Source organism: Homo sapiens, chromosome 3 (assembly GCF_000001405.40).
Source record: "Homo sapiens chromosome 3, GRCh38.p14 Primary Assembly".
Lineage (NCBI taxonomy): Eukaryota > Metazoa > Chordata > Mammalia > Primates > Hominidae > Homo > Homo sapiens.
In genome coordinates, this window is record NC_000003.12 from 42,064,234 (window position 1) to 42,078,234 (window position 14,001).

The 14,001-nt window shown below is 43.8% G+C and overlaps 1 protein-coding gene across 4 annotated transcripts in view, besides 2 other annotated features; it reads left to right on the forward strand.

Annotated features, from left to right (window-relative positions):
- Positions 1–14,001, forward strand: part of TRAK1 (trafficking kinesin protein 1) — a 212,798-nt gene that overhangs the window by 51,141 nt on the left and 147,656 nt on the right. The gene's annotated exons all lie outside the window — the stretch shown is intronic.
- Positions 6,638–7,349: an enhancer, noted in NCBI's record as "H3K27ac-H3K4me1 hESC enhancer chr3:42112363-42113074 (GRCh37/hg19 assembly coordinates)". NCBI's record gives its function as "activates a minimal SCP1, AML or CMV promoter by ChIP-STARR-seq in naive H9 embryonic stem cells {active_cell/tissue: H9 hESC(naive)}" and the evidence as "EXISTENCE:reporter gene assay evidence [ECO:0000049][PMID:30033119]".
- Positions 7,963–8,092: an enhancer, noted in NCBI's record as "active region_19732". NCBI's record gives its function as "activates an Ori minimal core promoter by ATAC-STARR-seq in GM12878 lymphoblastoid cells {active_cell/tissue: GM12878}" and the evidence as "EXISTENCE:reporter gene assay evidence [ECO:0000049][PMID:35858748]".

Consider the following 14,001-nt stretch of genomic DNA (forward strand, 5'->3'; position numbering starts at 1 on the left):
TGGGTGGATCCCTTGAGCCCAGGGGTTTGAGACCAGCCTGGGCAACGTAGCAAGACCCTGTCTCTACCAAAAATACAAAAATTAGCCAGTCTTATAACCCGGTCTCAAATGAATAAATAAATAGAGGGATACAAATTAAAAAAAAAAACCTTTAAAAAGAATTCTCTTACAGTCTGATGTCAATGTTGGAAGATTAAGAAATAAAATAAATTTTTGAACTTGCTGTCTGAGTTACCCAAATGTAATTTCTAAGAACTCTAAAATATTATCACCTAGAATCTAGGAAGCTACCATGTGATCCTAGACTAATAGCATAGAATGAATGTTGCTTCATTATGAACTTATTATGGAAATACAAATACATAATAAATACTTTAAGCAGACTATAGACTGTTTCCTAAAATACTGAAGTTAAAATATTTGTGCTAGACTTCCTGATATGAAAAGCTTTTCTCATAATGATTTGTGAATTAATTTTACCATAGAATAGTAAGGGTATATTTTTAATGGGTTAAGTAGCTATACTTAAAAAATACATGCCAGGCATGGTGGCTCACACCTGTAATCCCAGCACTTTGGGAGGCCGAGGCGGGCAGATCACGAGGTCAGGAGATCAAGACCATCCTGGCTGACACGGTGAAACCCTGTCTCTACTAAAAATAACAAAAAATTAGCCAGGCATGGTAGCAGGTGCCTATAGTCCTAGCTACGCAGGAGGTTCAGGCAGGAGAATGGCGGGAGGCTGAGGCAGGAGAATGGTGTGAATCCGGGAGGTGGAGCTTACAGTGAGCTGAGGTCGCGCCACTGCACTCCAGCCTGGGTGACAGAGCAAGACTCTGTCTCAAAACAAACAAACAAACAAACAAAAATTAGCTGGGCATGGATGCACACACCTGTAACCCCAGCTACTCTGGAGTCTGAGGCACGAGAACTGTTTGAACCTGGAAGGTGGAGGTTGCAGTGAGCCAAGATTGTGCCACCGCACTCCATCCTGGGCCACAGAGCGAGACTCCCATCTCAAATAAATAAATAAAATAAGATAAATAAAAATACAGATTGAGTATCCCTTTGCCAAAATGCTTGGAACCAGAAGTGTTTTAGATTTCAGATTCTTCTGGAATTAAGAATATTTGCATTATACTTGCGGATTGAACATCCCAGGTTTGAAATTCTGAAATCCAAAATACTTCAATGAGTATTTCCTTTCAACACCATGCCAGTGCTCAAAAGTTTTGGATTTTGGAGCATTTTGGGTTTTGAATTTTCAGATTTGGGGTACTCAGCTTGTGATTATGTTGCGTAAAGGCTATTCAGTTTGATATTAATCAGACAATATCAAACTGAATAGCCTTTACCCAACATAATTGGGCCACAGAATTGTGGAAGTACTGGAATAGTTTTATTTATTTTTTAAGAAACAGGGTCTCATTTTGTTGTGCAGGCTGGAGTGCAGTAGTGCCATCATGACTCACTACAGCCTCGACCTCCTGGGCCCAAGCTATCCTCTCACCTCAGCCTCCCAAGTATCTGGGACTATAGGCGTGTACCACCACACCTGTCTCATTCTTAATTTTTTTATAGAAATGGTGTTCCACTATGTTTCCCAGGCTGGTCTCCAACTCCTGGGCTCAAGTGATCCACTCGCCTCAACCTCCCAAAGTGCTGGGATTATAGGCTTGAGCCACCACACCTGGCTATCTCTTGAATCCTAACTCCATGTTGAGCTTTTAAAGGGTTTTCTTATTCCTTGTGCCAAAAATGCCTTTTCTACCCTTCCAACAGAACAAACCCCTATTAAAGTTTTAGTTGAGGCTGGGTCCAGTGGCTCACGCCTGTGATCCCAGCATTTTGGGAGGCTGAGGCAGGCAAATCACTTGAGGCCAGGAGTTCAAGACTGGCCTGGCCAACATGGCAAAACCCCGTCTCTGCTAAAATTCCAAAGATTAGCCAGGCATGGTGGCACACACCTGTAGCCCCAGCTATTTGGGAGGCTGAGGCACGAGAATCTCTTGATTCTCGGAGGCAAAGGTTACAGTGAGCTGAGATTGTGCCACTGCACTCCAGCCTAGGCAATAGAGTGAGACTCTGTCTCAAAAAAAAGAAAAGTTTTAGTTGTGAAGGGGAAGCTCTGAAGTGTGTTAGAACCCCTAAGTCCATGGAGGGATTCACTTGCTCTGAAATGGGATGGTCATGGAGAGAGAGAGAGAGAGAGCACCCAGCGTGGGAAGGCTGGGTGTGGACATCGACCCCCACCCCCACCCCAAGCAGCAAGGTCATGAGCCGTGCAGAAGTGGGACCTTCCGCCGTTGGTGCTTCTGGAAGTAGTGCCCAGCAAGGACCAGTGAGGAGCTAGTATTCCTTAGCTTAGGCACGGCTCAGTCCTCCCTGCCTACCATGCATGCAGTTTGTAGCCTGTGTGTTTCCTGTTTTCATTTCCTATCTTGCTATTACTTTTATGCATTGGCTTATCACAGCCCACTCACTCTAAGGCCATCTTGCCATCCCATGACATGGTCACTGAAGGCCCAGCTGTCACTGTTTATTCACTTGGTGTGTACATGACTGTTTGGACCCGTTTCCTAGTAACGGCCCTGTTAATTTCAATGAGAAAGGCTAATGGGGTGCCTTTTTCAGGGGCTGGGGGGAGGGATGATGTGCTCCCTTTAGCCCCTCTGTGTCTTTGGTCCTTGACCTCACTGTTTCCTGGGGGATTCTTATACAGAGGCTCTTGGCTTCTTCTCTCAATACCACACATTCCTAATTATTTGTGCTACTTCTTGAGTAATCTTGAGGTCTGCTTTGGATTACTTATCAAAAGTGGCTGATAAAATTTGAGCTGTCGTTTCCCAGATGTGTGTGTTAGTGCTTCGTAGAGAATTTCTTCTTTGTACTCAAGTTGATTTAAGTCTAGAATCTGACTTTTAATTGTGGACCAAGCAAAACCCCCTTGCCTCTCTAGGGATTATTTAGAATTAATAAAATCAAGTACTTTTTCACACGAGCCTGAAGGAATTGTTAACTGAAGGAACTTTTATGTGATACAGTTTGTTCTGAAAATTAGGTATTTAAGGACTTTGTCAATTATGGTTAAGCACATTTTTTATTAAAAAGAACAAGATATGTAGCTAAGTGGCTGTGTCCGGGCTGAGATGTTTCTTCTCACTCGATCCTACAGTGAAGTCAAAATATAGTGACAGATTCAGTTTCCATAGCTGCAGAATCTGTTTTCAAAAACACAAGGCTGTGATTTCACTGTAGTTCAGTGCACATTGAGAAGCTAATATGGAAATAGAAATGAAACTTTTCAAAATACATGCCTTAAAACAAAAACTTCCAGTTCCCCTTTAGTGCTTAGATGAGATTTTTTTTTTTTTCAGGCTTTGTAAGTTTTGCAGATTAATTTCAGAAGTTGACGGCAATGTGATCCTGGTGGACTGTCATTCTGTAGTGTTAGTCAGGAAGCCCCTCACACACTTTCTTCTCATTTCCTAATGCGACAGTTGGTTCAGTGAATATCCATTGTGCTTTATAGGTTGATATTGATATGTTTGTAATTGGCCTATCACGTAGTTAGTTTTTTTTTCTTTTTTGGCAATCACCTTTTTCCATGTGAATTTTCAAAAAATGTATTTATTTATTTAGAAGCAGGATCTTATGGCCAGGCGCAGTGGGTCACTCCTGTAATCCCAGCACTTTGAGAGGCCGAGGCGGGCAGATCATCTGAGGTCAGGAGTTCGAGACCAGCCTTGCCAACATGGTGAAACTCCGTCTCTACAGAAGTACAAAAATTAGCCGGGCGTGATGGTGGGTGCCTGTAATGGGAGGCTGAGGCGGAAGATCCCTTGAACCTGGGAGGCGGAGGTTGCAGTGAGCCAAGATCATAATCACTGCACTCCAGCATGGGCAAGAGAGCGAGACTCTGTCTAAAAAAAAAAAAGAAGAAACAGGATCTTACTCTGCCACCCAGGCTGGAGAGCAGCAGTGGTGTGATCATAGCTCACTGCAGCCTTGAACTCCTAGGCTCAAGCGATCCTTCTACTTTAGCCTTTCAAGTAGCTGGGACTACAGGTGTGCCACCACGTCCAGCTAACTTTTTTTCTTTTTTAATCTTTTGTAGAGACTGAGTTTCACTATGTTGCCCAGGCTGGTCTCGAACTTTTGGCCTTAAATGATCCTTCAGCCTTGGTCTCCCGAAGCACTGTGATTACAGGCATGCCACTGCATGTGGTCCATTAGCTGTAGTTAAGAGAAAAGAGTTGGGTTGGTTATTTTCAGTGCCTTGGGCATAAAGAGTGAATCATTAAGTTCATTTTGCACTCTTTGAGTTTTACCGTGTTCCAGGCACTGAGGACACAACAGTGAACTAAAACAGGTAGAAGTGAGTCTTTAAGGAATGAAATATAATTCGTCTCTACTTGAAATTTGCACATAGTCTGTTTGTAGGACAATACCTATTGAAATAGGGTCTCCATTTCGCCAACAAGTTAACCCTTACTACTTATGGGAAATTACCTCAGTGGTAACTGTAGAGCAGTCATTTATTGAACATTAACTGTATGCTTAGAGTGCATTTTTCTTTACATTATTGTATTAGCTCGTTTAATCCTTGTAACAGCTTCCCATTTTATAGATGAGAAAACTGAGGGTTGTAGGGGTTAACTGATTTTAACTTGGCCAACATCATACAGTGACCTATTCTGACTGTGTCTTTCTGTCCCTACAGGATTTGAACTTATAGTGGAAGTACTTTAGGAAATGCATTTGTGTCTGTGTAGTCATGGTTAGGAAATGTGCTCATGTCAGGCTGTTTAAAAGTTGTGGAGGCTAGGCATGGTGGCTCATGTCTGTAATCCCAGCACTTTGGAAGCTGAGGTGGGTGCATTACTTGAGCACAGGAGTTTGAACAACATAGTGAGACCCTGACTGTGTATATACACACACACACACAATTAGCTGGGCGTGGTGGTGCATGCCTGTAGTCTCAGCTACAGGTGGGAGGATTGCTTTAGCCCGGGAGGTCAAGGCTGCAGTGAGACTTGCTTGTGTCACTTTACTCCAGCCTGGGTGACACAGCAAGACCCTGTCTCAAAAAAAAAAAGAAAAAAGAAAAGTTATGGGTGGGTCGGATGGTGCAGTGGTGCTAAGCTCACTTAGCTGTCAACAGGGGAGGGCTGGGTTTGTCATGTTGGAGGTCAGACAAGTACCTAATAAGGAGGTAACTGAGGACTGTTGGATGTATTTCTCTGGGTGGGGATGGTCTGCCTGTGAAGATGAAATTCTATTGGAAATATTCTTTAATTATATTTTTACATGTCTCACTTTTATTTAAATAGGGATACTATATTCTGTACTTTGTTTTGTGACCTGCAATTTTCCCACTTAATCTATCTCTAGAGCGTCTTTTCTTGGCCACCATGTGATTCTCTGCAGTGTTACTGGAAATGGCGTTGTGGTGAAAAATGTGCAGACATGATATATGGGAGGACCATGCCTTATTTAATCAAAATCAGTATTATTAGACATTTTCATTTTCCAATTTTTAACAGTTATATAACTGCTGAGGAAAGTTACATCTTTGTATGCAGTTATGATTTTTCTTAGAAAATAACTGAAGAAGTGGAATTGCTTTTTTTTTTGAGACAGAATTTTGTTCTGTCACCCAGGCTGGAGTGCAGTGGCGCAGTCTCCCCTCACTGCAACTGCTGCCTCCCGGGTTCAAGCGATTCTCCAGCCTCAGCCTCCCCAGTAGCTGGGATTACAGGTGCCCGCCACCACACCTGGCTAATTTTTGCATTTTTAGTAGAGACAGGGTTTCACCATGTTGGCCAGGCTGGTCTCAAACTCTGGACCTCAGGTGATCTGCCCGCCTTGGCCCCACAAAGGCCGGGATTACAGGTTTAATCCACTGTGCCCAGCCTGGAATTGCTTTTGATTCATGTTCCTGGGTGTGAGTGAGCTTGTTACCTGCACCCTTGTCAGCAGCAATAGTTATTATAATAATTATGAATAATAATAATTATTATAATTATAATAATTATGAATAATAATTATAATTATATTAATTATAAATAATTAATATAATTAATTGCCAGTTTGACAGATAACATGATAGTATCTCATACTTGTTTTATTTTTCATTTCTTTGATCACTAGTGACATTTTTTTTCCTGAAAACTTTTATTACTGAATTTTATTGTTGTTGCTGTTGTTTTGAGACAGGATCTTACTCTGTCACCCAGGCAGGAGTGTGGTGGCGCCATCATGGCTCACGGCAGCCTTGAACTCCTGGGCTAAAGCAATACTCCCATCTCAGCCTCTCAAGTAGCTGGGACCACAGGTGCGCACTGCTGTATCTGGCTAATTTTGTTTATTTTTTGTAGAGATGAGGCCTCACTATGTTGCCCAGGCTGGTCTCCAACTCCTGGGCTCAAGCAATCCTCCTGCCTTGGTCTTCCAAAGTGTTGAGATTACAGGCATGAGTCACCATGCCCAGCACTGAATTGTCTTTAATAAAGATACAGAAGGTGTGGCACAGTAGCTTGTGCCTGCTGGTTCTTTTTATGTCCCAACTGTTTGTTCTGATAAATTTTAAATCTGTAAGTGGTGAAATAAGAATACAGTGAAGTACATTGATGTTTATATTATGCATTTATTAGCATGTTTGCCAGGAGCTATTGTAATAAACAGCCTTGGGTTCAACACCAGCTTCACCTGTTGGTTCTTAGGCCTGTGGGCAAGTTATCTCCAGCCCTAGTTTCCCCATTGGTGACTTGAGGAGGGTGATGTTGTGGGCCTCATGGGCTGCTGTGAGTTTTTGGACAAATAACTCCTTGGGGTAATGCACCCAGGCCTGGCTAAGCACACAGTCACTTTGCAGTAAGTGGCAGCCAATATTGCTCTTTTCCTTGTTGGAGTCATGATTTTTTAAAAGCCAAGTTCCTCCTACGGAGTGAGTGCAGTGAAAGCCAGGACCTAAGGAGGAATCACAAACAGAACTGTTCTCTTCCTCTCCTACCCATGTCCCATATTCCCGGACCTCTTTCTCACTCTAGTTATTTTGTTAACTTTATCCTAGGCTGTGACAGCTTGGCAGCCGCTGTTTTTGGGTGGATAAGGTTCATTCCTAATCCAGGCCTGTTCACTGGGAGGCATGAGGCCCCAGGTGCTTGCCTTCCCATAGATACCCACTCTTGGTAGGGCGTGGTGGCTCATGTCTGTAATCCCAGCACTTTGGGAGGCTGAGGTGGGCTGATCACCCAAGAGCAAGAGTTTGAGACCAGCCTGGCCAACATGGTGAAATCCCGTCTCTACTAAAAATACAAAAATTAGCTGGTTTTGGTGGTGGGCGCCTGTAATTCCAGCTACTTGGGAGGCTGAGGCAGGAGAATTGCTTGATCCTGGGAAATGGAGGTTGCAGTGAGCTGAGATCGCACTATTGCACTCTAGTCTGGATGACAAGCGAAAGTCTGTCTCAAAAAAAAAAAAAAAGATACCCACTCTCTCTCCCCCTTTTCTTTCTCCCCCAGAGACCCCCTGCCATTCAGAGTGATGACACATGCAATGTGGGCTGCAGGCCATCCTGCTTCGGGACATCTAACCCTTCTCAGGCAAAGTTTTCCTCTTCAAAGCAATAGCTTTTCAGCCTGGAGTCTCAGATTTCCAACAGGGATTTGGGATGAGATTACCACTCCTACCACCCTTCCTGGCTTTGGCCAGCCTCCAGAATTCCTCCTGGTGTCCTGAGAATGTGGAGAGAACCCTGCTTCAGGTTCTGATTTTCTGATTGGACGTTACAGTGGGGCATGTAATATCCTGCTGGGATGCCTCTCTGAGAACTGCCTCCATCCTGCCAGCTGCCTGTCAGGCTGGCGTCGTGCCCCTTGGCTGGCAGTATTAAGCGTCCGGAGGCCACTATGTACCCAAAACAGCAAGCCCGTTGGCCTGGTTTGCTGGAGAAGCCCCTTTGCAGAGCAATGTCCTGTGGTCACCATTCCTACACTGGCCTGGGAGTGCTGTCTCTCTCGGGAGTCGCCAGCCAAGTTTTGAATGTCTGACTCAGCTTTTTGGGTCTTTCAGGTGGTGCATCTTCACTGGACCTGGGCCAGCTGGTCTCACTGAACTTGCTTTGTGCCGGAAAGCTCTGCTCGTAAAGGTTCCATTGTAAACGAAGGAGGAGGCCAGCTGTACGCAGGCTCTGCAGCTCAGCCTCTTAGCCTGGTTTCCTGTGGCAGGAGAGGGAGCTATTTATGGCATTTTATAAATCTGCTGCCATCAGCCAGGGAGAGATGCAGACCGTTATGTAAGGCTGTCAGTGTGCAGCTTTTTTTTTTTTCTTTCTCTTTTTCTTCCTCATTTTGGGAGACAGGCGTGAGCTTACAGAAGGCAGCGTGGTTTGGGATTTCTTTTCTCTCAGTTGCAGCAGAATTATTTTTGGAAACGGGGATTTGGTCACATGACAGCAGTTTTCATTCATGAGATGTGGATCGATTAAATGGATTTCTCTTTACTTCATAGGTGTTTACTGAGGGCAGTGCATGTGTTGGGGTGTTTGCTTCTGTCCTAAACAAGGTTTAGAGAAGAGAGAGGGCTGGATTCTGGAACTAAATTGGGTCAGAGTTATTTTTCTCCAGTTGCCTTGAGTTGTGGAATTTTTCTTTGAGTGACCGTTGATTTATTATTTGGGGGGATTCCCTTTTTCCAGGGCCAGAGAAAGGTTTAGCCTTAAAAGTGGCATTTATTTTGTGTTTATCTGTGTGCATATGTGTGTTTGTGTGTTCGTGGGCCTGAGTGTATATGAAATGAGAGCAAGAGAGGACAGACACGCATGACAGCATGCACGTGCAGCCCCCAGTCCACATACAAGTCTGCCCTGAAGTCATTCGAGCAGAATCTGTAACAGGGGCTGCCTGGGGCCCCTAGCTGTTCTGGCTTGTGCTGTTCAGGAGGCCCTGGGGGCTCTCCCAGGAGTTCACAAGAGGCTCTGGCAGTTGTCCTTGACCCTTTGTCATCTCCTTCCCTGCGCCTTTGGTTACCCTGACACTGCTCCGACTTTCTGACTATAGTTGCTGCTGTCGGCTCGTCTAAATCTTTCTTATTCTGTGGGTGGTCACACACACCGTCTTCCAAGATGCTGCTTCCCTTCACAGCATAGTGTAGCAGTAGTTGCAGTTTTCCAGTGATCAGAAATGCTTCCCAGTCCTACATCTACAATTATTTGAGATAAACTTTGATTAAGTCACTTAATCTTTGCCCAAGCCTTTTCCCCAACCCCTGCCTCACAAAATGGGGATGATTCTACGAAGCTCTAGCATATGATTATTGTACGGGCAGGACCTGTGGCCTAGGGCATGTGAAAGCCCATTGTGAGGTGTATAGCATGAGGGTCCTGTGAGGCGGATAACGGCTTCTTGACAGCCTTGCTTTTTTGCTCACCTGGCATTGTTGCTGTAAACCTGCAACTCATCTCCTCATCTCCCACCTGTTCAACTTTTACATGATATTTTCCACTGCGCAGCCACTTGTCCAGTTATTTAAGGAGCTGACCCGGACTGATGGGCGTGCCAGAAAGGTCAAATGAGGTAGGAGAGTGGTAAGATGAAAGACGGGAGGAACAGACCTCTTTGCATGGTTGCCTGTCAGCTGCCCCCAACCCAACTTGACCCCGGAGTTCAGACCCCATCATTGTCCTAGCTGGAGTATGCATATTTCATATATGGACTTGAGCAGTCTCAGCGAGTCTTTGCTTTGAGTTCCTTTGCCCCTGTTACGACAAGAGGGTTGTTTTAAGAGAGAGTGGACAGATGTAGGAGAATGGTCAGTGGTCAAGGATCACATGGAATGTCCGATTCTCCACTGGACCATGAGCTCCTTTAAGAGCAGTGTTACTTAGAGCCATCATAGGGCAAGCAGTGTCTTTGGATCCATTCAAAGCTAGACTCGCATCCTAGGCAATGTTTAGTCTTTGTGTTTCCTCTCTTGTAAAAAGTGGGTGCTGATATTACTTTATAGGTTGTAAGCCTTAAACAGGGTCATGCATGTTAATTACTGAGCATAGTACCAGACCACTGGCCTGTTTTACAATTACAAGAGTGCTGGGGCTGTCGACGCTTTAAAAGAGCACATGTTGGTCTCATCACCTTCTACGCAGGCATCAGTTTGCTCAGAAAAGAAGCTGTAAAATGGCAAGAAAAAGAATTGCCCTGGCTAGAGAACAGGGAGACTGTAGGGCTGGTTGCAGCTTAAGCAAGGCCCTTCATGAGCGAGCTGGCCACAGATGAGAGACAAGGTCTTGGAGTGCCCACCCTGATTCCAAGTGACTGTCTGCAAGTTAGCTAGCTTTCTAGGGTGATTGTTCCTCAGATAGAAACAAAATGTTGAAAACATGCCTTCATTTAATGTTCAGCAGCAAAATGCTTATGATCCCAAGGGTGAGTCTCAGACTAGTTTTTTTTTTTTTTTTCCCAACTTTTATTTAGGTTCAGGTAGTACATGTATAGGTTTATTACATGGGTAAATGGCCTGTCACAGGGGATTGGTGTACAGATAATTTCATCAACTAGGTAATTAGCACTGTACCTAATGGAATGGGTAGTTTTTCAATCCTCACCCTCCTCCTACGCTCCACCTTCAAGTAGGCCCCATCGTCTGGTGTCTGTTGTTCCCTTCTTTGCGTCCATGTGTATTCAGTGTTTAACTTCCACTTACAAATAAGAAAATGTGGTATTTGGTTTTCTGTTCCTGCATTAAATCACTTAGGATAATGGCCTTCAGCTCCATCTATGTTGCTGCAAAGGACATTATTTTGTTCTTTTTTTATGGCTGCGTAGCATTCTGTGGTATATGTCCACATTTTCTTTGACCAGTCCACCACTGATAGCCATCTAGGTTGATTCCATGTCTTTGCTATTGTTTATTATTATTTTAAAAATTTAAAAAAAATTTTAATTAAAGGATGAGGTCTGGCTGGGTGTGGTGGCTCACGCCTATAATCCCAGCTACTCTGGAGGCTGAGGTATGAAAATTGCTTGAACATGGGAAGGGGATGTTGCAGGGAGCTGAGATAGCGCCATTGCACTTCAGCTTGGGTGACAGAGTGAGACTCAGTCTCAAAAAAAAAAAAAAAAAAAAAAAAAAGAATGAGGTATTACTATGTTGCCCAGGCTGGTCTTGAACTCCTGGGCTCAAGTGCTATTGTGAAGAGTGCTGCGATGAAGATACATGTGCTTATGTGTTTATGGTAGAATGATTTCTATTCCTTTGGGTATATGCCCAGTAATGGGATTGTTGCGTTGAATGGTAGTTCTATTTTAAATTCTTTGATAAATCTCCAGACTGCTTTCCACTGAGGCTGACCTAATTTATAATACATTTCTACCAGCAGTGGATAAGCATACCGTTTTCTCCTCAAGCTCACCAGCATCCATTACTTTTTGACTTTTTAATAGCCATTCTGACTAGTGTGAGATGGTGTTTTATTGTGGTTTTGCTTTGCATTTCTCTGATGATTAGTGATGTTGAGCTTTTTTTTCATATGCTTTTTGGCCATGTGTATGTCTTCCTTTGAGAAGTGTCTGTTCATGGCCTTTGCCCATTTTTAAAATTTTTAAAATTTTATTTTTTATTTTTTTGAGACAGAGTCTTGCTCTGTTGCCCAGGCTGGAGTGCAGTGGCACGATCTCGACTCACTGCCACCTCTGCCTCCCAGATTCAAGCAGTTCTCTTGCCTCAGCCTCCCGAGTATCTGGGATTACAGGTGCCCCTCACCACACCCAGCTAATTTTTTATATTTTTAGTAAAGATGGGGTTTCATGATGTTGGCTAGGCTGGTCTCAAACTCCTGACCTCAGGTGATCCACCCGCCTCAGCCTCCCAAAGTGCTGGGATTACAAGCATGTGACTGCACGCAGCCTCCTTTGCGCATTTTTAAACGTTTTTGTTTCTTGTAAATTTGTTTAAGTTCCTCATAGATTTGGGATATTAGACCTTTTTTTTTTTTTTTTTTTTTTTTTTGAGATGGAGTTTCCCTCTTGTTGCTCAGGCTGGAGTGCAATGGTGCGATCTCGGCTCATGGCAACCTCTGCCTTCTGTGTTCATGTGATTCTCCTGCCTCAGCCTCCCGAGTAGCTGGGTTTACAGGTGCTCGCCACCACGCCCAGCTGATTTGCATATTTTTAGTAGAGATGGGGTTTCACCATGTTGGCCAGGCTGGTCTCGAACTTCTGACCTCAGGTGATCCACCCGCCTCGGCTTCCCAAAGTGCTGGGATTACAGGTGAGAGCCACCAGGCCTGGCCAGATATTAGACTTTTATCAGAGGTATAGTTTGCAAAAATTTTCTCCCATTCTGTGGGCTCTCTGTTTATTGATAGTTTCTTTTGCTGTGCAGAAGCTCTTTAGTTTAATTAGATCCCACTTACCAATTTTTGTTTTTTGTTGTAATTGGTTTTAGAGTCTTTGTCATGAAATCTTTGCCAGGGCTCATGTCTAGAATGGCATTTTCTAGGTTTTCTTCTTAAATTTTTATAGTTTTAGCTTTTACATTTTATTCTTTAGTCCATCTTGAGTTGATTTTTTTATGTGGCAGAAGGAAGGGGTCTAGTTCCAATCTTCTGTATATGGATAGCCAGTTATCCCAGCACCATTTATTGAATAGGGAGTCCTTTCCCTATTGCTTGTTATTGTTGGCTTTGTGAAAGATCAGATGGTTGTAGATGTGCAGCTTTACTTCTGGGCTCTGTAACCTGTTCCATTGATTTATGTGTTTGCTTTTATACCAGTACCATGCTGTTTCAGTTACTGTAGCCTTGTAGTATAGTTTGAAATCAGGTAAGTGTGATCCTTCTAGCTTTGTTCTTTTTGCTTATAATTGCTTTGGCTATTTGGGCTTTTTGTTGTTTTTGTTGTTCCAAATGAATTTTAGAATAGTTTTTTTCTAATTATGTGAAGAATATCCTTGGGAGTTTTACAGGAATAACACTGAATCTGTAAATTGCTTTGGGCAGTATGGTTATTTTAATTATATTGATTCTTCCTATCCATGAGCATGGAAAGTGTTTCTTTTTTTCTTTTTACCTCGAGGCAGAGTCTTGCTCTGTCATCCACACTGGAGTGCAGTGGCATGATCTAGGCTCACTGCAACCTCTGCCTCCTGGGTTCAAGCAATTCTTTTGCCTCAGCCTCCCAAGTAGCTGGGATTACAGATGTGTGCCACCATGCCCAGCTAATTTTTGTATTTTTAGCAGAGACAGCGTTTCACCATGTTGGCCAGGCTGGCCTTGAACTCCTGACCTCAAGTGACCCACCCACTTTGGCCTCCCGAAGTGTTGGGATACAGGCGTGAGCCACCATGCCTGGACTGTTTTTCCATTTGTTTGTGTCATCTCTGATTTCTTTCAGCAATGTTTCATAATTCTCATTGTAGAGATCTTTCACCTCCCTGGTTAGCTGTATTCCTAGGTATTTTGTTCTTTTTGTGGCTATTGTGAATGGGACTGAGTTCTTAATTTGGCTTTCAACTTGGACATTATTGGCGTATAGAAATGATACTGATTTTTGTACATTGATTTTGTGTCCTGAAACTTTACTGAGAGTATTTGTCAGAACTAGGAGCCTTTGGACAGAGACTGTGGGGTGTTCTAAGTATAGAATGTTATTGTCTGTGAAGAGAGAGAGCGTCTCAGACTTTTATCCAGTTTCAGACCTACCATCCCAGGCCTGGCAGCCACCCACTTTCGTTGTGTCTACTTCTTCCGCAGTTTGACAAGTGGGTGGTGGCACCACGTTTTGTAGACGAAAGAAATTTCAGAACTTGGCCAGAGGCTGCTGTCAGTAGGTAATGGTTGAGGTGGGACTAAATCCAGGCCTGTCTGGTATGTTAGATCTAAATCTGACCTTCTGGGGCAAAGGGTCTGAGTGGCTGTGAGGTGACTCTGGTTTGCCTTCCCACTAAGCTGGGGTAACATGGGGGCTCCAGAGACAGTTTATGCCTTCAGAATCAAAGGCC